This window comes from Homo sapiens, chromosome 2 (genome assembly GCF_000001405.40).
Source record: "Homo sapiens chromosome 2, GRCh38.p14 Primary Assembly".
NCBI lineage: Eukaryota > Metazoa > Chordata > Mammalia > Primates > Hominidae > Homo > Homo sapiens.
Genome location: NC_000002.12, coordinates 73,893,002 through 73,920,669, shown reverse-complemented (window position 1 = coordinate 73,920,669; position 27,668 = coordinate 73,893,002). Strand labels below are relative to the sequence as shown.

The following is a 27,668-nucleotide window of genomic DNA, read 5'->3' as shown; positions in this document are numbered from 1 at the left end:
TGTGGCCTTACCCGGCAATTCCAGATGCCAAAAATTCAGTAAATACTTGTAAAATTAAACAAAATTAACCTAGTGGGTAGGGAGGAAATTGATAAAGAGGGGAGGAGGAGGAGGAGGAGGAGGAGGAGGAGGAGGAACAGGAGAGGGAGGGAGAGAAAATGTCCTTCCTAACGATGCTACTCCTTTCTTAATTAATTTTGGGGCAAAATACAACCTGGCCAGGCGCGGTGGCTCACACTTGTAATCCCAGCACTTTGGGAGGCCAAGGTGGGCAGATCACCTGAGGTCAGGAGTTCAAGACCAGACTGGCCAACATGGTGAAACCCCATCTCTACTAAAAATACAAAAATTAGCCAGGCGTGGTGGCGCATGCCTGTAATCCCAGCTACTCAGGAGGCTGAGGCAGGAGAATCACTTGAACCCAGGAGGCAGAGGTTGCAGTGAGCCAAGATCGTACCACTGCACCACAACCTGGGCAAGAGTGAGACTCTGTCTCAAAAAAAAAACAAAAAAAAATACAGCCTAATCCTCAATGACAACCTCATAGAGATCATAGAGATCTTAAGCCCACGGTGACCCTCCTTCACGTGAGTGACAGTAACATTGTATGTGAACTCTTCATGTCACATCCCATAAGCCTATGTCACGACTGCGTTCATATTCCCTAGTGAACTGCCCTAGAGCACAAGGACTTACATCACTGAAAGTCTGTGTTTCTACCCCCATCCCAAGAGTCATCTAGCCTCATTCTTACTTATATTCAAGGAAAAGAAAACAAGATGACACAGTAGAAGGAGCACTAGCTTTGCAGTCAGATACTTGAATTTTAATCTGGAATCTGTGTGATCTTCGCAAGTCCTTGACTTCTCTGAGCCTCAATTTCCTCATCTGTAATATGGGTATAATGATAGCACCTACCTTACAGCACTATTGCATGGATTAAAAGTAATGTGTGAAAAGTCCTTAGCACTGTGTATGAGACATAGCCCAGGAAAAAAGAGCCCCACACAGAGAAGTAAGGCTTGTAGGTTTTAATGTTTCATGACTGGTAACAGAGTAGTCTCGAGGGGATCCTTGGAGAACCTGTTCTGACTTTAGAAGCACTTCCTGTGGACAATGGAGGGCCCTGCCTCATCATACTCAGGCTTGCTGATCCACATCTGCTGGAAGGTGGAGAGAGAGGCCAGGATAGAGCCCCCGATCCAGACTGAGTACTTCCGCTCTGGGGGAGCAATAATCTGCAAAGAACAAATGTGGTGAATCATGATCAGTCCCCAAGGGAATAAGCAAGGTGGTCCAAAAATCTACTTATCCCAGAAAAGGGGAGCCCCATGGTCAGAAAAGAACAGGAGAAACATTGTGATAGATTAGATTATTGCTCAAAACCTTCACTTCCCCCCTCTTCCCTTATTCCTTCCATGGGAAGAGTGCACTGCTCCCTGTAAGGCTGGGCATTGTGTTTGCTTTGACCAATGGGATATTAGCAGACATAACACAAACAGGGGCTTGAAATATGCTTGTGTACTTGGGCATGTTCTCTTGCTCTGCCATGTGCATGAGAAGAGCTGCCCCTGGGAAGCAGCTAGCCCTTCAGCCTGGGCCCATTAATGAGAAATATGGACTTGACCTGAGCTGGCTGGACCTGCAGTTAATTCAGAGCCACTTACTTAGCCAAGCCTGACCTTGATCAGCTAACTTCCAGGTGATGCGCAGATGCACGAGTAATAAATGCTCATTGTTAGGTGCCCCTGAGATTCCACGGTTGTTTGTTACTTGGCAATAGCTGACCAATACAAATATCTATAAGGGGAACCTTGTTCTGTTCTTGCCTGGAGTTTGGAAGCATGGGCAGGTTGGGCTGGGCTTCCTCCATGCCTGAGTATAAACCAGTCTACCCAAACCCTGTTTTGAGCTATCTGTCATCAGCCAATTATATCTCAGAAGTCCTCAAATTTATATCTACATTGTTCATGCTTTCCACTAGGAATCCTGGGCTTAGCTTTTAGAAATTGATTGTCAGGTCAAACAACTTTGAACTCTACTTCAAAGGGGATCCAGAAGGACTATGATTCTTCAACTAGTTTTCCAGTTTTGGAAGGGTCTAAGAATTCAGTGCTAGAGCAAACCAGATAATAAATTGATTTTTTTTGTTGCCGTAGAATCTCTTTACATATTCCCTAAATCACAGAGATCATGGAATTGTAGAATAAGAAGGATCTTTAGAAGTTATTTTATTATCCAGGCAGACAAAAGTCACACAAATGCTCCTTGAACAGATTATTTCAAGGACTGGGAATGCACAGCCACTAGCAAGGTAACAAATTTTATTGTTGGACACTTCTCATGAGAAAACTCTGGCTTCTCTTAGGTTGGTGGTCCTAAATATAAGCCCTACCCCCACCCCAAATCTGTTCTTCTGTGTCCTTGAGACTTGCCTCATCTCCCCCAGTTCCCCTATAACAAATCCTGCTGTCCAATTTGGATAGGTGCTCATATAAGCACACACCTGCCTGGACACATTTGCTCCTTCTATTTCCTCTGCTTAGAGTGTCCTTTCCCTTCCGCTTTTATTTAGATTGTCCTGGTATTGATAATGTTTACTAATTAGATCCTAAACTCCATGAAGGCTGGCACGTACTGTTTAAGTCAGAGCTGTGGCTCATGAATTGGGAAATGCATCAGATCACTGGTGGTTGTTTATCAGTGTAGGTGATGGGGGAGCAATTCAGACTTGTTGGACCAGAATCTGGGAGTGAGGCTAGGCGTGGTATACTGACACACAGTCCTGGTAAAAAGCCCCTGCCCCAGGCCTGGCACAGCTCTCCACAGGACAGGCCTCAGTAATGCACCATTCCTGTGGCTCTGGGTGAGAAGAGCCCACAGGTTCTCACCAGTTTCCTGCTGGTTTGCTCCATTTCTCTGTGATGAACACCATCTGTTAGGCAGGGGGAAGGCCCGGGGCAGCCTTCCTTCATGAAGGTTCTTAGAATATTGACTGAGAACACATTTCCTTACATCAGGCCTACTCCCCAGAGACCAGCTTTATTGTGAGACTTTGTAACTTTCAACCAATGTGATATTTCTATTCCCAACTCTTTCTCTAAAGCTGTTAGCAGCAAAGTTCCTAGAAGGAGCTAAAAATGTCTGTGTGACTGCTTGGAGACCAGAGGCAGAAGAGAAGCTCCCATCCTGCAGATGCCCAGGAGGCGAGAGGCCCTGTTGGGAGGCAGTATGGGGAAGGGCATGGCCAAGATGGGACAGTAGATCAGAGATGTTCAGGAATCAAGGAATGTCCCTGTTGAGTTTGAAGCAGAGCTGGCCCTATGACCAAACATCCACTCTTTGGAACTTTTACCCTCCTTCGGAGCAATAAAGTTTAAAGATACCATAGTGTGACCTCCTTCTTTTCTTTCCTTCTATTTCCCATCTCCTGATTTCCTTCTTAACCCTCTCAATATTCTATTTATTTATTTATTTATTTTTAGAGACAGGATCTATCTGAATTTATATTTAGAGACAGGCTGGAGTGCAGTGGCACAGTTAGAGCTCATTGTGGCCTTCAACTCCTGGGCTCAAGTGATCCTCCCACCTTGGCTTTCCAAAATGCTGGGATTACAGGTATGAGCCATTACACCTGGATAATATTCTCATCATCCCAAATTCTTTCAGCCTCTTCTCATGTGACATTCCTGGGATTATGTTTGAGATCCATGCTAAGTGGGTCTTCAGCCCATCAATGCCCAAGGAACATAATTCCGTAGGATAAAATTGGCTCCAGTCCAGGATGATATTGAACCCAGGAGACCAGCAAGTTATCAGGTCTGGCAGTCTGCCTCCGAGGAACTCCCAGGTAGGCAAGACTTTATACAAAGAACAGGATGGAGACAACTGAGGCAAGACCCACCTTGATCTTCATGGTGCTGGGGGCCAGGGCTGTGATCTCCTTCTGCATCCTGTCAGCAATGCCAGGGTACATGGTGGTGCCCCCAGAGAGGACATTGTTGGCATATAAGTCCTTACGGATGTCAATGTCACACTTCATGATGGAATTGTAGGTTGTCTCATGAATTCCAGCGGACTCCATGCCTAGTGGAGATCACAGTGTCTGGTCAACAGGCATCACTTCCTAAATATGCACACCTCCAGCTCCTCAAATGACCCTTCTTCGATTGTTGCAACTACCCTAGTTCAGAACCTTAATATCTCCCAGAAGGATTATAAGATCATACCCCCTTCCTTGTCATGGCCTTTCCTTTATTGTCCCCAGTTCTGATTGATCTTTTTTTTTTTTTTTTCTGAGATGGAGTCTGCTCTGTCACCAGGCTGGAGTGCAGTGGCGCGATCTCAGCTCACTGCAACCTCTGATCCCTGGTTCAAGTGATTCTCATGTCTCAGCCTCCCGAGTAGCTGGGATTACAAGCACATGCCACCACGCCCAGCTAAATTTTGTATTTTTAGTAGAGATGGGGTTTCACCATGTTGACCAGGATGGTCTCCATCTCCTGACCTTGTGATCCACTCATCTCGGCCTCCCAAAGTGCTGGGATTACAGGCGCGAGGTATTACACCCGGCCTGATCTTTTATACTGTTGCCTGAAGCATATTTCTAAAGGAACACTTTTGTTATATCATCTTTCTTTTTTCATAACTTTTTGAGATATAATTCAGTCATTTTCAGTATATCCACAGAAGCAAACATCACCAAAATCTAATTTTAGAACATTTTAAATACCTTCAAAAGAGACCCCCATACCTAATAGCGGTCACTCCCCATTTTCCCCTCCATCCCTGCCCCAGCCCTAGGTAACAGTGAATCCACTTTCTGTCTTTAGAGGTTTGCCTATTCTGGATGTTTCTTGTCAATGGAATCATACACCATATGGTCTTCTGTGTGTGGCTCCTTTCACTTAGTATAATGTTTTCAAGGTCACAGCATGGATCAATACTTCATTCCCTTTTATTGCCAAATAAGATTCCATTGTATGGATATACTCGTCATGTCATCTGACAGTCACCCATTGCCTGCAGGTTGACATCCAGCTACTGTAGCCTGGCATCACAGTCTTCTAGAGCAAAAGGTCCTGCACGCCAAACTGGCTCTTGCCATCTGCCTGGTCTACTTACCTCTACTCTTTTTTTTTTTTTTTTTTGAGACAGAATCTCACCCTGTTGCCCAGGCTGGAGTGCAGTGACACAATCACGGCTCACTGCAGCCTTGATCTCTGCGGCTCAAGCGATTCTCCCACCTCAGCCTCCTGAGTATCTGGGACCATGGGCATGCACCACCATGCCCTGCTAAATTTTGTATTTTTCATAGAGATGGGGTTTCGCTATGTTGCCCAGTCTGGTCTCAAACTCACAGGCTCAAGTGATCTGCCTGCCTCAGCCTCCCAAAGTGCTGGGATTACAGGCGTGAGCCACCGCGCCTGGCCAAGCCTCCGGTCTTTTATCCATGCAATATGATTCCACACTGTAGATAGAAGAATCTTGCTAAACTACAACCTGACCTTGCTACATTGCTGCCTACAAACTTTCTGTGTTTTAACCTCATTCTTAAGTTTCATGTTATATTTCCTGTTCTGCTTTTCCTGTATCTTGATTTCCTTTCCCTTTTATTTAAAATGAGATTTTTCCCTAATTTTTTTTAAAATACATTTTTGGCCCTTCCTAGGAAAATGTGAGGTACGTGTATGTAATTAACAAAGTGGCCATGACTCCTGGTGTTTCTCTCTCCATACCTCACCCACTCCTCCACCCTCCCCTCCTGAGATTGGCAGGGACTGTGGGCAGCACCTCACCAATAAAGGAAGGCTGGAAGAGGGTCTCAGGGCAGCGGAAGCGCTCATTGCCAATGGTGATAACCTGCCCATCTGGCAGCTCATAGCTCTTCTCCAGGGAGGAAGAGGAAGCTGCTGTGGCCATCTCATTCTCAAAATCCAGGGCCACATAGCACAGCTTCTCCTTGATGTCTCGCACAATTTCTCTCTCAGCTGGAAGGAGCAGAAATGACAGAAGGTGAATACTGAGCTCTGATAGTTTGGTTGTCCCATTTTGATCTCCATGAAAACCTCCTTCTCACATCTACTTTATTCTTTTTTTTTTTTTTTTTTTGAGACAGAGTCTCACTCTGTCACCCAGACTGAAGTGCAGTGGTGCTATCTTGGCTCACTGCAACCTCTACCTCCTGAGTTCAAGCAATTCTCCTGCCTCAGCCTCCCAAGTAGCTGGAATTACAGGCGTGCGCCACTAAGCTCGGCTAATTTTTGTGTTTTCAGTAGAGACAGGATTTCACCATGTTGGCCAGGCTGGTCTAGAACTCCTGACCTCAAGTGATCTGCCTGCTTGGCCTCCCAAAGTACTGGGATTACAGGCGTGAGCCACCACGCCTGGCCTCACGTCTACTTTAGGTTCAGTCATAGGATGATGATAGACTTGCCGCGAAGAGGGTCAAGCGTCACTCCATTCAATCTTAATTCTTCCACTCCTCTTTCTAAAGAGGGAGTCTCAAGTCTTGATTCCCATGCAGGACTTTGCATGAGATTTCTGACAAAGCCTTAGGCCTTCCTGGGGGCTTTGCAGGACATATTTCTGGTCTAGACTCAGATGTTTGATCTTACAGAACCTAGAGAGGCTCCCACCTAAAAAATGCCGATTGCCCAGGTGGGCCACATGACACCTTCCCCTTAGAAATTCGGGCCTCACTTATTCAATTTGTCCTCAAACCAAAGGTGCCCCTAGGTAATGAAATGCATCAGCAGATCTTCACTACCATTCAGCCTGTGGAAACTAGCCCTAGTCCTGGTGTGGACGTGGACAGAGGCAGCTGGTCTCTGGGGAAGGAGGGACTGCTTCCATGACTATCTGGTCTTATCCAGAGGCCTAGCCCCAGCTTAAGGCCTCTCAGTCTATCTCAGGAGAGTTTAAAGACACAGAGTCACAGAATTCTCATTGGTCCTGAGAACTTCTTGTCCTAAACCAGATTGGTTCTGAGCTCCAGTCAGAATCAGAAAAGGGGCTGGATACCTGTGGTCACAAAGGAATAGCCTCTCTCTGTGAGGATCTTCATGAGGTAGTCCGTGAGGTCACGGCCAGCCAAGTCCAGGCGCATGATGGCATGGGGCAGGGCATAGCCTTCATAGATGGGGACATTGTGGGTGACGCCATCACCTGAATCCAGGACGATGCCTGTGGACAGAGAGGATCAGGCTTATAAAATTCTCATTCTTGCCTTTCATCAGTCTCTTTCTAGGACTGTTACCAATGAGCTCTGACTACCATATTTTCCTTTACCAGTTAAGAATATTCACCCATCACAAGAATCATCAATCATATTTTTTATTTTTTATGTATGTCACTTTTTTCCCCCCAGTGAGACTGTAGGCCTCTGGAGGGCAAGTAAAATGTGTCCTTTTTTTGTATTCCTTGAAACACATTACTGGTAATGCATACTTGTCAATTTGCATTAAGTCTACATTGCATATTCTTTTTTTTTTTTTTTTGGAGACAGAGTTTTGCTCTTGTTGCCCAGGCTGGAGTGCAATGGCATGATCTCGGCTCACTGAAACCTCTGTCTCCTACGTTCAAGTGATTCTCCTGCCTCAGCCTCCTGAGTAGCTGGGATTACAGGTGCCTGCCACCACGCCCGGCTAATTTTTTGTATTTTTAGTAGATGTGGGGTTTCACTATGTTGGCCAGGCTGGTCTTGAACTCCTGACCTCAGGCAATTCACCTGCCTCGGCCTCCCAAAGTGCTGGGATTACAGGCATGTGCCACTGCGTCCAGCCTCATATTTCTTAATCTAACAGCCACATCATAACGGATGAGAAAACATTACAATATCACCACCATTTTTTAATATTGTCCAGGATGTTCTAGCCAATTGCAGTGAAACAGAAAATAGAAATAGGAGGTGTGACTACCAAAATTGTCATTATTTGCAGATAATGTGGTTTTATACAGAAGACCCAACAGAATCAATTAAGAAACCATTAGACCTAGTTAGATGGTTCAGTAAGGGCCAGATGCAAAATAAATGTCCAGAAAGCAGCAACTTACTCTTGTGTAAGGACCTGAATCATGGCATATTGTATAATAAAAATGAGAGGCAACCTAAAGCTCCAGCAATAGAGAAATGGTAAAATAAATACATAATGAAACCATCATACAACGACTACCACGTGGCTATTAAACATGATGTTTGCAACGAAGTGCAAGGTTGGGCGCGGTGGCTCATGCCTGTAATGCCAGCACTTTGGGAGGCCAAGGGGGGCAGATCACTTGAGGTCAGGAGTTCAAGACCAGCTGGCCAACATGGTGAAACCCCATTGCTACTAAAAATACAAAAATTAGCCGGGTGCAGAGGCAGGTGCATGTAATTCCAGCTATTCGGGAGACTGAGGCAGGAGAATCGCTTGAACCCGGGAGGTGGAGGTTGTGGTGTGCTGAGATCACATCATTGCATTCCAGTCTTGGCAACAGAGCGAAACTGCATCTCAAAATGAAAACAAAAACAAAAACCAAAGTGCAAAGCACAGGATACGACACTGTATATGCCATGCATTTCTCCATCATTGTCCTTATCACATGCAGTGAAATTATCTTTTACTTTTGTCTATCTCCCACTAAACTGTTAGCTCCATAATGACAAAGTCTGTCTTATTTGTCAGTGTGTGCCCATGGCCTGGTACCATGTTTGGCACATTGTAGGGAGTAATGGAAAATATATGATGGATGAATGAATGGATAAATCAGTGAATAAATGATTAATGAACGTTTAAACAAATGTTTATGGAAGCTGTCAAGTTCCTATTAAAGACCATTTTATTTTGAGATTTCCTCTGTTACGCTGAGCACACTTCTATACCAAGGCCACATATAGTCATGTCCACATAATGACATTTTGGTCAACTTCGGACCACATACACAATGGTGGTGCCATAATATTATAAGGAAGCTGAAAAATTCTTATTGCCTAGTGACATCATAGCTGACATCACGTCATAGGGCAACGCTTTATTCACGTGTTTGTGGTGATGCTGGTGTAAACAAACCTACTGTGCTGCCAGCTGTATAAAAGTACAGCACATACATTATGTACAACATACTTGAAAATGATAATAAACAACTATGGTACTAGTACTGGCTTATGTATTTCTTATACTGTCTTTTATTTTTTTATTTTTTTTTTGAGTGTCACCCAGGCTGGAGTGCAGTGGTGAGATCTCAGCTCACTGCAGCCTCTGCCTCCTGGGCTCCAGCAATTCTCCAGCTTCAGCCTACCGAGTAGCTGGGACTACAGGCGTGAGCTACCAATGCCCGGCTAACTTTTTGTATTTTTTGTAGAGATAGGTTGTAGCCATGTTGCCCAGGCTGGTCTTGAACTCCTGAGCTCAAAGAGATCCACCCACCTCGGCCTCCCAAAGTGCTGGGATTACAGGCATAAGCCACTGCACCCAGCTCTTATACTATGTTTTTAATCATTATTTTAAAGTGTACTCCTTCTACTTATTAAATAAAAAGTTGACTGTAAAACAGCCTTAGGCAGGTCCTTCCGGAGATATTCCAGAAGGAGGTATTGTTATCATAGGAGATGACAGCTCCATGCATGTTATTAACCCTGAAGACCTTCCAGTGGGCCAAGATGTGGAGATGAAATACAGTGGTATTGATGATCCTGAACCTGTGTAGGCCGAGGCTAATGTGTATATTTTAGTTTTTATCAAAAAAGCTCTAAAAGTAAAAAATAAAATAAAATAAATTTAATAGAAAAAAGCTTGTAGAATAAAGGATATAAATGAAACTATTTTTGGCTGGGGGTGATGATCACACCTGTAATCCCAGTACTTTGGGAGGCTGAGGTGGGCAGATCACTTGAGATCAGGAGTTCGAGACCAGCCTGGCCAACATGAGATGGATCTGGAGAGGAGAATGGTCAGCCCTGGAAATTTCTGATCGACATTTAAAGGGTGTACTCCTTTTTTTTCTCTACTAAATAAAGACAAAAATAAGCCAGGCATGGTGGCACGCTCCTGTAGTCCCAGCTACTTGGGAGTTTGAGGCATGAGAATCACTTGAACCTAGGAGGCGGAGGTTGCAGTGAGCTGAGATCGCACTACTGCACTCCAGCCTGGGTGACAGAGTGAGACTTCATCTCAAAAAAAAAAAAAAAAAAAAGTCATGGGAGGCTGAGGCAGGAGAATCGTTTGAACGTGGGAGACAGAGGTTGCAATGAGCCGAGATCACGCTACTGCACTCCAGCCTGGTGACAGAGCAAGGCTCCGTCTCAAAAAAAAAAAAAAAAAAAAGTCGAAAAAAGATGTTTTTCTATTACTGTCACTACAAAAAAAGTAAAAATGGCTTTAAAAATTAAAAAGTTTATAAGGTAAAAAACATTACAGTAAGCTAAGGTTAATTTATTATTGAAGAAAGAATAATATATATATATACATATTTTTTGAGACGGAGTCTCGCTCTGTCACACAGGCTGGAGGGCAGTGGCGTGATCTTGGCTCACTGCAACCTCTGCCTCCCAGGTTCAAGTGACTCTTCTGCCTCAGCCTCCCAAGTAGCTGGGATTACAGGTGCCTGACACCACGTCCAACTAATTTTTGTATTTTTAGTAGAGACGGGGTTTCACCGTGTTGGCCAGGCTGGTCTGGAACTCCTGACCTCAGGTGATCCGCCCACCTCAGCCTCACAAAGTGCTGGGATTTCAGGTGTGAGCCACTGTGCCTGGCCAAGAATAATATTTTTATAAATGTAGTACAGCCGATGTGTACAGTGTTTATAGTCTACAGTAGTACACAGTAACATTTTAGGTCTTCACATTTTCTCACTACTCACTCACTAACCCACCCAGAGCAACTTCTAGTCTTGCAAGCTCCATTCATGTAAGTGCCCTACACAGGTGTACCATTTTTTATCTTTGATATTATATTTTCACTGTAACTTTTCTATGTTTCAATATGTTTAGCTATACAAATACCTAACCATTCTGTTACAGTTCCCTACAGTATTAATTATAGTTAAATGCTATACTGTCTGTAGCCTGGAAGCAATAGGCCACGCCATACAGCCGGGGCATGTAGTAGGCTACAGCGTCTAGGTTTGTGCAAGTACACTCTCTGATGTTCCCACAGTGACAAAGTCACCTAATGACACACATTTCTCGGAACGTATCCCTGTCATTAAGCAATGTGTAACTGCACTTACATTTCCACCACCACAGGTTCTACTCTTTCTGCTTCATGAAGCAGAAACATTCCAGTATTGTTGGAATGTGTGTATGTGTAGAAGCTCCTGGAATTATTACTGTGAGGGAAACAGTTCTTGCTGGATGTTTTTTCCAACTATACCAGCTAGGCTCACATCTGGCATTCCACATGGGCATTCTCACCTATTATCCCTAAGAAAGATTTTGCCTGGACTTCAGCTGTCCATTTGATTCTTCTGAGCAGGAGCCTCTGCCAGACCCCAGCTTTTCCCTACCTCCCCTGAAGTCAGAAAAGGAATGGATTACAGGATTACTCACCTGTCGTGCGGCCAGAGGCATAGAGGGAGAGCACAGCTTGAATGGCGACGTACATGGCAGGGACATTGAAGGTTTCAAACATGATCTTAAAGGACAATGAAGAATAAAAGATTATTTGGCAAAAATCACAGCACTTCTTGGCCTGTAGAATGGTTTGTAATCTCATTAAGGGCAGGAACTATGCCAGTTTGATAGTTCATTATTCCACACCCACTCCCCCAGGGCCTGGCATGGACCACAGACATAGCAGGTCCTCAGAGAGTTCTGTTGCACTGATGTTTGAAGGGGAGAAAGTATCTGGCCAAGCATCCATGTTGCATTCTTATGCCAGTGTTCAAGTCTTCCTGGCTTCTTACCTGGGTCATCTTTTCCCTGTTGGCCTTGGGATTTAGGGGAGCCTCTGTGAGCAGGGTGGGGTGCTCTTCAGGTGCTACACGCAGCTCATTGTAGAAGGAGTGGTGCCAGATCTAGTGGAGACAAAAGCCATATGAGCCTGGCAGACTCCCAATGGCTGGAAAATTCTCATTGACATTCCCATGCTGGGAGAGTGTGGCACCATGTTACACAGGATGGGATGGATCTGGAGAGGAGAATGGTCAGCCCTGGAAATTTCTGATTGACATTTAAAGGGTATACTCCTTCTCAACAGGGCCCCAGGTAGGACTCAGACCTGGAACCAGTATTTTCTATGTGTTCATTATTTCCATTTGACCTTCCCTCCTCTTCACTCTCCTACAGTCTCTCCCCTGCCTTTGTGCACTGAGTGATGCAAGGCACATTGTATCACTCAAGTGTTCATTGCTTTCTGGCTTCTGGCTATATTTGGCTGATAGAAGATTCCTGCAAGAGGCTGGAAAGTAGGAGGGCAAAAGAAGTCAGGGTCTATCTCCTGACAATGGCGTGGCCCTCCATGAGCACAGTTCCTGTTGGGCAGCCCCTCTTTCAGAGCTCAAGCTCTCACTAAGCTCCAATGACACTGCCCTCGTCACCTGACCCCTTCATGTTTAGGGGTGTGAGAGCTCCCTCTGTTGCTGGCTCTTGGGTGCCTCGACATCCCTTTGTAGTTGCCTTAACCCTATGCACATTTCTGTAGGACATTCATTTAACCAGTTGTAAAACCCCAGCTGAGTATACACTGTCAAACAATTTCAAAACCGCAGCTGAGTGTACACTATCTCCTGCTGAGAATCTGACAGAGGCACTTGGGCTCAATTTTCACTGGCTATTATTGGCCAGGCTGGTGCTTTAAAGCAGGGTTTCTCAATCGCAGCTCTATGACATTTTAGGTTGGATAATTCTTTGTTGTGGAGGGCCGACCAGTATCCCTGGTCTCCACCCACTGGATGCTAGCAGCAGTTTTCCAGTTGTGACAATAAAAAATGTCTGCAGACATTGCCAAATGTCCTTTGGGAAGCAAAATCATCCTGGTTAAGAACCACCGCTTAGCCTGGGCAACACACTGTGGGCCTGTCTCTACAAAAAGATAAAAAATTAGCCAGGCATGGTAGCGCCTGCCTGTAATCTCAGCTACTCAGGAGGCTGGGGCAGGAGGATCGCTTGAGCCCAGGAGGTCAAGGCTGCAGTGAGCTGTGATCATGGCACTGCACTCCAGCCTGGGCAACAGAGCAAAACCCTGTCTCAAAAATAAAAAAGAACCACTGTTTTAGAGGAAGTTAATTTCTTCCTGTGTCCAGTTCCTTCTTCAGTGATCAAGTACGACCAAAAAGGAGTCTTTCAGAGGGATTGGGCAAAGTGTAGCAGGGACATGGGGCTTTGGTTTCCTCAGAGGTGAGGCACAGGGTCATTTGATGCCATTGGACCCATGTATTTATGGACCGCCAGGTTTGTGCTAAGACGGTGGTAAGTGTGATGAGGGCAGATATGAATCAGACATGGCACCCTATTCTCAGTTGCAAAGTCCAGAGGGGAGAGAGACGTTTAAAAAAGACCAAAACAAACAAAAAGAAAAACACAAGCCACATTTTAAGTGAAAGAAGAGGTAGGAGTAATTCATTATCTGAGGGATTTAAATGGGCCTTGAGGGCAAAAGAAGGTCTCCAGAGGCTGCTGCAAAAGGCATCCGAGGCAGAGGGAATGGCACAGGCAGAGGCCCTGGACTGTGAGCATTGCACAGGAGCCTGAAGGACAGCAACTGGTCTTAAGGAGGGGACCCCATGCTACTTAAAATGTGCTTCCTCAAGGCCCTGTCTCAGAGTCACCTGGGATCATCTGACCCACTGAACCAGAATCCTTGGGTGTTGGGCTCAAGCATCTGCACTTGATTTTGGTTTCTTTTTTGGAGTTTTTATACCTTAAAAGTTAAAGATGTTGATAATTTTTAAAGTTAGAAAAATATTTTTAAGGTCGAGTGTGGTGACTTATGCCTGTAATCCCAGCACTTTGGGGAGCTGAGACAGGCAGATTGCTTGAGCCCAGGGGTTGGAGACCAGCCTGGGTAACAAAGTGAGACCCTGTCTCTACAAAAAATTAAAAAATCAACTGGATGTGGTGTGCACCTCTGTTCCCAGCTACACCGGAGACAGAGGCAAGAGGATTCCTTGAGCCCAGGAGGCCAAGACCACAGTGAGTTATGACTGCACCACTGCACTCCGGCCTGGGCGACAGAGGAAGATCCTAGCTCAAAATTTTTATGTATTTATTTATTTATTTATTTTTTATTTTTTATTTTGAGATGGAGTCTTGCTCTGTCGCCCAGGCTGGAGTACAGTGGCGCCATCTCGGCTCACTGCAAGCTCCGCCTCCCGGGTTCACGGCATTCTCCTGCGTCAGCCTCCCGAGTAGCTGGGACTACGGGTGCCCACCACCACACCTGGCTAATTTTTTGTATTTTTAGTAGAGATGTGGTTTCACCGTGTTAGCCAGGATGGTCTCAATCTCCTGACCTCGTGATCCACCCGCCTCCGCCTCCCAAAGTGCTGGGATTACAGGCGTGAGCCACCGCGCCCGGCCAAAATTTTTTTTAATGGAATAAAAATCTCCCCTATGTCCATCACCTAACAACAAACAGTTAACATTTTGGCTTTTTTCTTTTTCCTAACCTTTGTCTTTATGTATTTTTAAATTTATTACTATCATTATTTATTTCATATTCTTTTATTTATTATATTATTATACTATGTTCAAATTTGTTTTTATAACAAATTATTTTACTTTTCATAATAAATATTTATTTTTGATAAACTTAAACTTTTGAAAATGCTTATATAACATTTTATCATATACTATCATATATTTAATCACATTACTATTCATGGTGTCTTTGATTTTTGGTTATAAATAATCCTATGATAGTTATCTTTGTGCATATTGCAATTTATTTTTTGTATTCAGGATGTTTTCCAAAGAAGAAGATTCTAAAAGTGGAATGACTGGGCTAAAGAACATAGCAATTGGAAGACTTTCTGATTTCTGTTATTAACAAATAGGCTAAACCAATCTTTACTTCAGAATAAAAAAGTGGCTGTTTTACCCCATTCTTAACTGAATTCAGTGCTCTCACTCTTAAAATATGAAATAATTTGATAGGTAAAAATCATACCTAGTTATTTTACTTCAATTTTTTTGTTTCAAATGAGTTTAAATTTTTTCACATTTGCAACTTTTCATAATTTCTGTTCAGCTAATTAACTGTTTTTTATTTGTCTGGGGGACACTTCATATTTTTAATTGTCAATTTGCATTAACTGTTCATATTAATCCCTCATTGCCCTTTTGTTTTGCAATTTGTTATTTGGCTTTTAAATTTGGTTATTTTTGAGATATTAAAAGTTACGATTTTTTAAGAAGTCAAATTTGTCATTCTTTTTCTCTATGACCACTCTTACCAGAAATTTGATTAAATGCTCACATTAACTGTATTATATTTTTGGTAATTTAAATGTTTACATTTAACTTTTATATTTAATTGACATGTGTTTGGTGAAATGGTATGAGCTTAGGGCTATAAACCAAGATTCTCTAGCTCCAAAAATAACTAATCAGTTGTCCCAGAAATAATTTATTGACTAGTCCTTTCCTCCTTTCTGATGCTGGAAGTTTCATTTATTATATATTTCCTCTTTACCTTTTTGCTGGTATCAAATTGTTTTAACTTTATAATTTATATTGTATTTTATTACATTATGTCTTCCTTCATAATTAAAAAAATTCATTTTGTTCTCATAATTGTTGCTTATTTATTTCTGCAAACATACTTTAGAATTATGTCACATAATTTTTATTGGAATGCAATGAGCCTATAAATTAATTTGAGGACATTTGACACTTTTACCCAATTTGGTTTTTCTTTTAAGGCACACAAGATTATATATATATATATATATATATATATATATATATATACACACACACACACACACACACACACACACACACACACAATGATTTATAGATATATAATGAAATGATTATATAATGAAATGATTTTATATTTATACATATATACATTTTTAAAAAAAAATATATATAGGGTCTCACTCTGTTGCCCAGGCTGGAGTGCAGTGATGCGATCTTGGCTCACTGAAACCTCCACCTCCCAAGTTTAAGTGATTCTCCTGCCTCAGCCTCTGGAGTAGCTGGGACGACAGGTGCTAACCACCACATCCAGCTAATTATTGTTTAGTAGAGACAGGATTTCACCATGTTGGTTGGCCAGGCTGGACTCAAGTGATCCACCTGCCTCAGCCTCCCAAAGTGCTGGGATTACAGGTATGAGCCACTGTGCCCGGCCTTAAGGCACATAATTTATTTTTAAGGGTTTCTTTAAAGAGTTCACATGTTGTCACTACTGTGAATAAAATAGTTTGTCTATTATTTGTCTATTATGTTTTCTTCCTTCCTTCCTTTCTTTTTTTTTTTTTTTTTTTTTTTTGAGACATGGTCTCACTCTATCACCCAGGCTGGAGTGCAGTGGCGTGAACACAGCTCACTGCAGCCTCCACCACCTGGGCTCAAGTGATTCTCATGCCTCAGCCTCCTGAATAGCTGAGACCGCAGTCATGTGTTACCATGCCCAGTGAATTTTTACATTTTTATTTCATAGAGATAGGGTATCACCATGTTGCCCAGGCTGGCCTCAAGCTATCCTCCTGCCTTGGCTTCCCAAAGTGTTGGGATTACAGGCATGAGCCACTGGCCTCTATTATGTGGTTTTTTTTTTGTTTTTTTTTTTTTTTTTTTTGAGACGGAGTCTCACTCTGTCACCCACAGTGGAGTGCAGTGGCACAATCTCGGCTCACTGCAACCTCTGCCTCCCGGGTTCAAGCGATTCTCCTGCCGCAGCCTCCCGAGTAGCTGGGATTACAGGCACCCGCCACCATGTCCAGCTAATTTTTGTATTTTTAGTAGAGACGGGGTTTCATCATGTTGGCCAGGTTGGTCTCAAGCTCCTGATTTTGTGATCCACCCGCCTCGGTCTCCCAAAGTGCTGGGATTACAGGCATAAGCCACCACGCCCGGCCTATTATGTTTTTAAATTAGATACTGTTACATATATATGAATCATATGTGTCACTTATTGAGCACATAAGTATGTTCCATGCCTTGGGATTATACTAAGCATTTAGCTAATTCAATCTTCAAAGCAACCTAATGCACAAAGTGTTTTTTATCTTCACTTTACAAATGGGAAAACTAAGACTTATAGGGTGGGATTTGCACCTGGATTTCCTGCCATTGCCTCTAATGTCTGTGCTCTTACCCACTCCACTGTATAACGTGAAATCCATTGCATTTTATGTGCAGTACTTATCTCACATTGAGTGACTCAGTCTAGGATTTAGAGAAAAGTATAAGTGAATTACAGACTTCAAGTCAACATTCCTCATTTCCAGTTGCAGTCTGCTCAATAAGCCCCCTATCACATTTCCAAAGACAGGCGTTGCAGAAACAAGAACACTCAGCCAACTGTCACCAGAGTTAATCACAAGAATATTAGAAAGGCTCTATTAACATTTTGCACACATAATTTTGTTTACCATGAGCTCCACCATTTAAAAATCCCGCTCCCCCCACAATATTTTCTTAAACAAAAATGCTTCTAGAAACCCTGAGAGAGTTCTACTTAGAAACTTTCACTGGAGACTCATCATCATAGTCTAGCATCAGTCCACCTATGTGAAGTCTTGACAGGGAAGATAAGAATGAGAGAGATGGCTGTTTGCCTCTCTTGAGCCAGCACCAGCATTTTAAAGAAGGGGTGAGCACTGGCCTGAGTAAATATTGCAGGAAAAGATGATCGCGGGGATCAGGCAGGGAAAGGTCCTCCAATGCCAAGACGGGGAGTTAGGAACCCCCTGTTGGTTAATGAAGAGCTACTGAAGATTTCTGAGGAGGTGAGTGACATGAGCTGACCTGTGTTTAGAAAGATCAGTTTTGCAGCAGTGTAGAGAATTAATTCGGTGAATGAGGGCAAGAGACCAAGAAATCAGCCAGGAAGCCATTGCAATAGTCCAGGGAGAGATGTTGGCAGCCTAGGTTGGAGAAATGGTCGTGGGGCTGAAAAGAAAGGAAAGACAGAAGTGAGAAGCATTTTAGAGGGAGAGTTGACAGAGCACAGTGGCCTATGAATACGAGGGTCATGATGATGGGTGATCATTAAAGCAGGCTCATTAAGGGGAAGTCTACAGATACCTTCTCCATGTCATCCCAGTTGGTGATGATGCCGTGTTCAATGGGGTATTTGAGAGTTAGGATCCCTCGCTTGCTCTGAGCCTCATCCCCCACATAGCTGTCTTTCTGGCCCATTCCCACCATCACACCCTGCAATGCAAAAAGAAGAAAAGAGAAATGAATGGCTGAGGGCTCCACACAGAGGGATTCAGGCACTGGAAGGTCTCTGAAGAAGGATAAGGATGGGAAAAACAGCCTTTCTTCCCCCAGAAACAGGATAGCAGGAGACAGGATGGAGCAGATGCCAGTGAGTATGAAGGTGTCAGGAAGAGAAGGTGGAGGATTTCTTGTGTGGTGGCCTTTCTTCTTTCTCTTCAGACAACGATGTTTTCTGAGATAAAACAAGCCCCTCCCATACACTTCTTCCCCTCATCCTACTACACACAGACACACACACACACACACACAGACACACACACACACACACACACGACTTGTATGCATCCTCCTCAAGTCCCCTGTGCCTGCTTAGATCTCCAAATCTTTGCTATTCTCTCCACCTGCTGAAATCCTTCTTATTCTCAGATATTACTTTTTCTGTGATACTTTTCCCTTCCTGTGAAATATTTTACCTCTATTACAGCCCATGATCTCTGGTTAGTTATGTGTATTTCTTCACAAAGTGTAAATTTCTTAAAGGCAAGAGGCTTGTTCAATCCCATATAAATTAACTTTTCCAAACCTGGCAACCCCCCAAATGTAAGCCAGACATAGTAGTGTCATTGTGTGCCTGATGTATGTTGGTTTTGGCCCTGGATATTTCTATTTAAAGGGTCCTGCTCTATCAGTTAATCAGAAAAGAACTCCCTACACCTGGCGTGCACACACGCATGTGCATGCACAGACACACACACACACACACGCACAGACACACACACACACACACACACACACACACACACACACACACACACACATTTCCTTCCCCTAACCCCCAGCTCAGCAGGGTCTCCACAGTGCAGCGCTTACTCCTAGTGGCTCAAAGCCTGGTGGTATCCAGATGAGCACGCACCTGGTGGCGAGGGCGGCCCACAATGGAGGGGAAGACAGCCCGGGGGGCATCATCTCCTGCGAAGCCTGCCTTGCACAGGCCAGAGCCATTGTCACACACGAGCGCGGTGGTCTCCTCTTCACACATGGTGTGTGTGGCTGAGTGAGCTGGGGACTGGAGCACCTTGGGATTTGCGGGAGAAGAGAACTAGTCAGCCACTTGTCAAATCAGTTTGGAGACAGTTTCTTGGCTTTGGGGCCTGACCCTACCTGCAATCAGGGCACACTTCCAGGAGGGACAGGCATGGGCTTGGCCTCCCACTCACTGGCAGTTGAGCCTCCTCCCTCTGCCCTGAAATGTGAATTGTGTCCCCCCAAAAATTCATGTTGAAGTCCTAACCCCCAGTACACAGAAGGTGACTGTATTTGGAGATAGGGTCTTTAAAGAGGTAATTAAGTTAAAATGAGATTAATGCAATATGGCTGTCATCCAGTATGACTACTCCAGTACAATGGGTGTCTTTATAAGAAGAGGGAATTAGGATCCAGATGCATGCAGAGGGTAGGCCACGGGAGGATGCAGTGAGAAGGTGGCCATATACAAGCCAAAGAAAGAAGCTAAAAGTTCTGGAAGGACACCTAGCAAACTGATTATCATGATTACCTCTGGGAGTGTGGAAAGGAACTGGGAGAAGAAGTGCTGGGTTATATCTATAATATTTTAATTTTTTTACAAGGAGGCTGCATTTGCATATAGTTTATATAATTAAAAATCAATAGCATAACATATCACTAGGAAAAAATAGGCAGTGGTTATAGGTGAAATGTACACTCCTAAGGGTAGAAGCACCTTGATGAGGAAGGGGCACTCTGGGAGGAGAGAGGAAAAGAAGGGACTCCATGATGGGACTCACTGTTGCCTCGACAGATGGGGACAACAGAGGATTCCCTACCCCATGCTGAGATCCGAACTGGGATGGATGCAAAATAATGAAGAAATTAACTTTCCCAACATCTGCTGCACGCATTCTTTCTTTCTCTTTTTCTGCCTTCCTTCCTTCCTGTATCTTTTTCTTTTTCTTTCTTTCTTTTGAGTTACAAACAGCATCTGACAAATTCCTGGCATTTGGTGATGAAGGAGAAGCAACAGAGCCTCGGAAGACAGTCAGAGATTGCCTCCTACCCTGGGAGGACCCAGTGGGGCGGGGCAGAAGTGGGGAAGGCCCCAGCTGAGGGGCTGGGCAGGCAGACTTCCAAAAACCCAGAGAAAAGAGAGGCGCCAGGCACATAAAGAGAAGGCCGGCTGAAGTTTTATCCAGGATGTGCGATTGCAGGTGCCTATGGCATGGAGCGGGGAGAGGGGAACTTCTAAAACCTGTGACCCTTGGCCCCAGATGGCCTCATGCAGAAGCTGGACAGAGAAGACCATACTGAAGCAGAGAGGAGACAGCACCACAGGCCTGAGAACGCGAGGTCTGAAGGCTAGGTAGATGCTGAGCAGAGGCTTGTAAACATTTTCAAGACTAAAAGGAAGCCCTTCCCAGATATGTTCAAAGCAAGGCTCATACTAGGGGAGAGGCCTGCTGTGACTTCTTAAATCCAGCTTTGCCTCTGTCTCTGCTGATCCTTATGTCTCCCATAGCCCCAGAGATGAGTCCTCACTCTCTAAACCAGCCCACAAGGTCCAGAATAGGATATCCCTCTTGATAAAGCCATGTACTAAGCAATAATACAATTTGGTATATTTGCGGCTGCCTCAGTCAATGTCAATGAGGAGGCAGCAATATGTCCCAGGGCTCTACTCTTGACCCTTTCTCATGTGACATTTTTATAAATGAATTGAATGAAAATATAAAGCACAGGTTGATAAAGTTTTCAGATAAAACAGCTGGGAGAGAGTAATATTAAATACACTGGGTGAAAGAATAAAAGTCCAAGAAGATCTCAAAAGGCACAGAAAATGAGCTGAATCAGAAGATATATATATATATATTTTTTGAGATGGGGTCTTGCTCTGTCACCCAAGCTGCAGTACAGTGGCAAGAACACAGTTCACTGCAGACTCGACCTCCCAGGCCCAAGCGATCCTCCCACCTCAGCATCCCAAGTAGCTGGGATCACAGGCATGCCCTATGGCTGGCTGATATAAAAATTTTTTTCTGTAGAAACAGAGTCTCCCTCTGTTGCCCAGGCTGGTCTGAACTCCTGGGTTCAAGTGATTCTCCTGCCTCAGCCTCCCAAAGTGCTGAGATTACAAGTGACCCACCACACACAGCCAAGGTTAAATTTAATGAAATGAATATGAATTCCTATATGTGGGTTTCAATCACCAAACTGTGAAAGTTCTTGTGGCCGGGCGCGGTGGCTCACGCCTGTAATCCCAGCACTTTGGGAGGCCAAGGTGGGCGGATCACGACGTCAGGAGATCAAGACCATCCTGGCTAACATGGTGAAACCCCGTCTCTACTAAAAATACAAAAAAAAAGAAAATTACCCAGGCATGGTGGCGGGCGCCTGTAGTCCCAGCTACTCGGGAGGCTGAGGCAGGAGAATGGCGTGAACCCGGGAGGCGGAGCTTGCAGTGAGCCAAGATCGAGCCACTGCACTCCAGCCTGGGCAACAGAGCAAGACTCCATCTCAAAAAAAAAAAAAAAAAAGAAAAAAAAAAGAAAAGAAAAAAGAAAGCTCTGTTTAGCATCTGTGAGCAGGACTTGGTGTCTTGTTGACCATCAGCAGTGTGCTATGGCCAGGATAAAAGCTACCTTTGCCTTTAGCTGGGGTACTGTGTGTGGTTCTTGGGGCCACCCTTGCTGGCAAAGGTATGGAGAATTGGCTTCACATTCACTGCTTGTGAGTGTTAAATTGTACTACTTTTCTGAAAGGGAATTTGAAAATACTTATTCTACGAATCTATCTTTGTGAAATGGTCATGAGTGAATGAAAAGATTTGGCCTGTTTTCACACCTTTGTTTAAAATGATCAAAATTAGGAACAATCTCAATATCAAAAAAAGTTACTGAATAGTAAATAAGTTGGCTTGTAAACTAATTGCTGGAAGCCTCCATACAATGGAGAAACTGAAATATTTAATACAATAGAAAAGGTGCAAGTTGCTTTGGTAGGTGAAACAGCAGTATGTTCCAAATCTCAGAGAAGGTAAAGAACTTAGCCAGAGATCTCTTCACCGAGAAGAGGCTGGGAAAGGCAGGCCTGGCACCCACCGAGGACACTTCCCAAGCCTGAGATGTGCCTTCGTCACTACTTTGGGGAACTGTCATAACTTCTCCATGTTTGGTGTTTTTGCTTCAGCCTGTCTCTCCAGAGCGGTTGGCAGCAAGCACCCTAAAACAAAAGGGTCTGTGTTCTTTTCTCTCTATGAAATGGAGTCCCTCCTGTGCCAGGGCCACGCCTAGATTTACTTTTTACAGCCCCAGCACCTAAGTGGGTGTTTAACACACAGGCGGTGCTATGGTTTGAATGTTTGTCCCCCTCAAAACTCATGTTGAAATTTAGTTACCAATTTTAACAGCAGGGTTCTGCCCTCTTGAATGGACTAATGTCCTTCTCAAGAATGGGTTTTTTTATAAAAGGGCGAATTTGGTCCCTTCTCACTCTCTCTTGCTCTTCTGCCATGTAACGGTGCAGCAACAAGGTGCCACCTTGGAAGCAGACTCTGGGCTCTCACCAGACAGACACTGAATCTGCTGGTGCCTTGATCTTGGATGTCCCAGCCTCCAGAACTTTGAGAAATACATTTCCATTGTTTATAAATAACCCAGTCTCACATATTCTGTGGTAGCAACAAACATGGATTAAGACAGTAGGTGTTCAATAGATATTGAATGACAATGTTGCCGTCTGAGTGGCCCCCCTCCCAGACCTGGTGTGCTCTGCCTCTGGGATACCCGAGTCCCCACAGTCCAGCCTCATGGTGGTTCAGTCACAAGGGCCTGACTTAGAATCACATGGGCAGTCTTCTCTCCAAGCTGGCCAGTGAACAGCAGTGCTGCCCTGTTCTAGCAGGTGGTCCACCTTGAGAAGAAAGCAACCTCCAAAGCAAGGAAGTAGCCAAAGAAGCAAAGCTGTGCTCCGGGACTGCCTCCCTCTAGGGTCCCCTCAGCAACCCTCTCTCCGGTGTGACTTACAGTTCAAGCCTGTCTGGGTTTTCAATGGGCCCTTTTGTCTCCCTCCCCAAACTCTCTCCGGTGTTTCCCACACACAGAAAGAGGGAGAGCCTGGAATTTTGTTTCCAAAGCACAGCAGCAGCTCAGAGAAGCCACAAGGCGACTTGAAGCTGTCAACAACGCTGTTCTGCAGCCCTTCAGGTGGCTTGGAGTCTGCTATTTTGAAGGCAAAACTCAACCGAAGTGAGGGTGGGGAAGGCAGGGGGAAGGCAGTGGGAGGGCTGGCGGAGTCGAGCCTCCAAAGGGCCCCGTGCTGCTCTGGGAAGAAGGGGTTCACCCTGGAGCCAGACTCGTGGACCATCTCTGCCAGGAGAAATTCTAAACTTTCCTCAGCTGCTTTCTGGTAATTTGTGGCTAGACTCGAGCATGTCAGCTGAACCAGAGTCAAAGTCACTGTGGTTTCCTGGGGTCACAACCGCTTCATGCTTGGCAGGGAGCAGAGAGTTGTTCTGGTTCTTTCAGCACGAATGACATCTGGGCTTCATTGAAGCTCTCACTGACTCAGGAATGAAGCTTTTATTCCCCTAGCCCCAAAGGTGGCCAGAAACCAAAGACATAATGAATGCAAGTCATTTGCTCACTCACCCGTCTCCCTGGCCACCTCAAACCCAATGTGAGGGCAGAGCTGTTAAAATCCACCCTCCCCAGCACCTCAAAGGAGACAAGTTTGGCTCTAGAAATCCTCCCACTGCTCCTCCTTCCTTTACCCTCTTCTCCCTCCTGGTTCCCCTTTCCCACAGCCCAGTCCCTTCCTTCCCTGGGCCTTAGTTTCCTCCGCTAGAACATGGAAATGATAGTATCTATCTCACAAGATGACAGAACGGAAATGAAGGTGCCGTAGACATTGTAAATCAGGGTAAGGCAAATTCCGGCCTGTTTCTGTATGGCCTATATCTCAGAATGGTTTTTCTTTTTTTTTTTTTTTTTTGAGATACTGGGCCTCACTCTGTCACCTAGGCATTGAGTCCAGTGGCACCATCAAGCTCACTGCAGGCTTGAACTCCTGAGCTCAAGGATCCTTTCTCCTCATCCTAGGAGCTGGGATGGCAGGCATGTGGCTGGCATGGCCACTACATTCTGCTAATTTCAAAAAAAAATTTTTTTTGTTGAAACAGGGTCTTGCTATGTTGCCCAGGCTGGTCTCAAACTCCTGGCCTCCAGTTGTCCTACTGCCTTGGCATCCCAAAGTGTTGGGATTACAGGTGCAAGCACTGCACCCGGCCCTACATTTTCAAACGGTTGAGAAAAAAGCAAAAGAAGAAAAATATTTCATGACCCATGGAAATTATATGACATTCAAATCTCAGAGTCTAATAAAGTCTTACTGAAACACAGCCACATCCATTCACTTACATATTATCTATGGCTGCTTTTGTTACAATGGTAGAATTGAGTACTTGTGACAGAGAACTTCAGGCTCCGAAAGCCTAAAATATTTACTATCCGGGCTTCGTCAATCCCTGTCGTCAAGGGCTGTAAAGAATAATGATTCTTATTAATCTCTCTTACTCTTCTCCATCAAAACTTGCTCCCAGGATGAAGCCTGTCATATTGAAAGGAATTGAATGATCCATTTCACACATCAATGACTATTGAAAGTTGAATTTATGTCAGTTCTCAAAGACATTTTCATTTTGACAGAAAGTGTTAGGCCTAAACGGAGGGCCTCTGCGATGATGAGATTTCAAACAATAGTTGGCGACAGGTTTTTGGGTGAGAGCTTCAAGTGACATGTAAGCAGCTGCGTCTCTGCCTTTTATTATTTGCCTACACGTATATACAAACCATCAGAAACCCTGGCAGAGAGAAATTGTCTATGAAAAACACTGCCACGATGGAAAATTCTAACAGCACCTCTAATTAACTTCAGGATATCTTCACTAGGTTCTATATATACATGAGTTCAATTAAAAACAACTCTGCTGAGTAATATTTTGGATCCTCCACAATCTGTCGTGGGTGCCTTATCTTCTGGCTCTTACCCGGACTTCCATTCACTCCCCTGGCTCTGCTCCTGTCCAGACCCCTCTCTTGAGCTCTAGGCCTGCAGAGCCTGCCGTGCATCTCCCCCACCAAAACCCCCCTGGCACCCCAACTCCACACCTCCAGGACTGCTCTCCTCATCAGCAGCCTCTGCCCGGAGCTGCCCTCACAGACTCACACCACCCACCCTGAGCCCATGCCCAATGCCCTGGTGCCGCCCTCTTCCCTCCCAACCTATCACCAGCCCTTCTTACTTCTACCTGCACGGCACCCATGCCACCAGCTCAGGACCACCGCATGCTGCAGTAGCGCTCTTGCCCTGTTCCAGTCCACTCTCCTCACAGCTGCCAAAGCAGCCCCTTCAACAGATACCCTCCAGATTAAAACCCTTCCATGGCTCCCCATAGCCTGATCCTTTAGAGTCTAAAGCCCTTGTAATCCAGCCCTGCGGACCCCTCTGAATTTAGTTTTACCTGATTCCTGCCTTGCTATCTAAATTCAGTGGAATTGAGCCACTTGAGTCCCAAAGACCATGCTTCCTCTTTACCAGGAAGGACCAAGCTTGGTCCTTACTTCAGGACCAAGCTCAGGCACCTCTTCCTCCAGGAAGTCTTCCCTGATAACTCCTGGGTTGAGTGATGGGCTCCTCCTGGCCTTTACCCCTTTCGTGTACTTATTTGCTCCATGGTTCTCATCTGTTTATCTGTCTCTTCCAGTAACTGCAGAAGCCTCTCCACTGTCCCTAAGGAGCAGAGACAGTGCCTGGCCCATAATAAGTGCTCAATAAATGTTGGCAGAATGAACAAGGGGAAAGAGGAAAGATATCTCGCCCCAAGGTCATGATGTCACACGGCCCATCCCCTTTTCTCAGGCCTGGCATGTAGGATCTTACTGTTCATTGCAGTTTCTCCAGCACCCATCCCTCTCTGTCACAGGAAGCTCTTCCTCTTTTCAGCCCAAGGGTTAGTATCAGAGTCCAAACCCACATTCAAGTAATCAAAGTGAGCACTTAGAGCCTCCCTGTACAAAGTGTGGTCCCAGACCAGCAGCTTCAGTGTCGCCTGGGAGCTTGTTAGGAATTCCAAGTATCAGGCCATATCTCGGCCTACTGGAATCAGAATCTGGGGTGGGGCATGGGGCAATCTGTGTTTTAACAAGCACTCCAGGTGATTCTTAAAGTTTGAGAACTCAGGGCCGGGCCCTGACAGCCTTGAGCTGAGTGCTGTATATACGCATTCTCTCGTTTAATCCTCACACCATCGCCAAGTAGATATTATTATTCTTGCCCCCATTTTACAGGTGAGGAAGCTGAGGTCGCTCAGTAACTTGGTTAGCCTGACAGTCTGCCTTCAAGGCCTGCACTGCCACACCCAGCCTGCCTCACCTGTGAAGAGATGCTAGTGAATTCTGATGCCAAACATAGAAGTGGCCCCTTCATCTCATCTTCCTCTTAATTCTTTGTGCATGTGTTGTGTGTGTGTTGGGTGGGTTGGGGGGAGTAATGACATCTGCAAATGGGTCACAGTTGGGTGTGAGTCTTTTGGATGAGTGGCTGTACGTCTCTAGGCCTCAATGTCCTCATCAGAGGAGAATGAACTAGATGGGTCCCAAGTTCCTTCTACCCTGAAACCTCACGATGCCACAGGGCAAGTGGAATTTTCTCCATCCCCCAATGATCCTAGAGCCTTCAAGGACTGCAGAAACCCTCCATTCTCCTCAGCCAAGCACAGATCAGAGGACAGAGAGACCCACAGGGGACCTGAAGAAAATACCCTCCCATTCCCAGCACAGACATTTCATGGACTAAACAGCTCACAGACACCAGGACCACTGTTGGCTTTGACTCAAGTATTCTGAAAAGCTGCTTTTCTGCAAAGTATATGATCCCCTAAAACAGCCTCCCAGACATTCTAACCCAAGACAAAGGACATCAGGGTGTGGATCTGCACTGGCCCTGGGGAGCAGGGCTAGTAGAGACTGCAGGCATTATATCCCGCCAGTCCCCATTCTGAGGCAGGGAGCACGGTTCCAAGCTGCCCCTGCCCCAGGATGTCCCATGGCCAGATACGCCTTTTCTCAGCAGGCTGCAGTATGCTTGCAGGTGCCGCTGCCCACCAAGGGCTCTGGTGTGTGATCTGGGCCAGCGTCACAGAAGCCAGGCCAATCTGGAGGCACCTCCCGCACCCAGGAGGCCAGGCAGCCCCGGAAAGGAAGAGGTGGCAAAAGCCGTACAGTACTTACCGAGGGTATGAGAGGTTCTTCTCCCAGTGACTGAGGGCTGGTGTGTCTTT

General features: G+C 45.1%; 1 protein-coding gene across 2 annotated transcripts, besides 1 other annotated feature; it reads right to left on the bottom strand.

Annotated features, from left to right (window-relative positions):
* ACTG2 (actin gamma 2, smooth muscle) lies at positions 805 to 27,662 on the bottom strand. 2 transcript variants are annotated; one of them, NM_001615.4, is made up of 9 exons: positions 27,619 to 27,662; positions 19,233 to 19,394; positions 18,182 to 18,310; positions 11,887 to 11,997; positions 11,531 to 11,615; positions 7,024 to 7,185; positions 5,799 to 5,990; positions 3,905 to 4,086; positions 805 to 1,238 (listed from the first exon to the last, which is right to left on the bottom strand). In NM_001615.4, exons 2-9 carry the CDS (start codon positions 19,356 to 19,358, stop codon positions 1,095 to 1,097), a joined length of 1,131 nt encoding a protein of 376 aa, NP_001606.1. In that variant the 5' UTR covers positions 19,359 to 19,394; positions 27,619 to 27,662; the 3' UTR covers positions 805 to 1,094. The 2 variants fall into 2 exon arrangements, with proteins under 2 accessions (NP_001606.1, NP_001186822.1); NM_001199893.2 differs by lacking the exon at positions 18,182 to 18,310.
* Positions 8,117 to 8,264: a silencer, noted in NCBI's record as "fragment chr2:74139533-74139680 (GRCh37/hg19 assembly coordinates)". NCBI's record gives its function as "represses an EF-1alpha promoter that drives an FKBP-Casp9 reporter gene in an ReSE screen in HepG2 liver carcinoma cells {active_cell/tissue: HepG2}" and the evidence as "EXISTENCE:reporter gene assay evidence [ECO:0000049][PMID:32094911]".

Bases quoted from the DNA above. Each gene is read 5' to 3' on its own strand.
- ACTG2 (NM_001615.4), bottom strand. From the start codon at position 19,358: ATGTGTGAAGAGGAGACCACCGCGCTCGTGTGTGACAATGGCTCTGGC. The intron at 11,616-11,886 runs GTAAGAAGCCAG...TTGTCCTTTAAG, and splicing joins ACAGGGAAAAGATGACCCAG to ATCATGTTTGAAACCTTCAA. The intron at 1,239-3,904 runs GTGGGTCTTGCC...TGTTCTTTGCAG, and splicing joins CCAGCACCATGAAGATCAAG to ATTATTGCTCCCCCAGAGCG.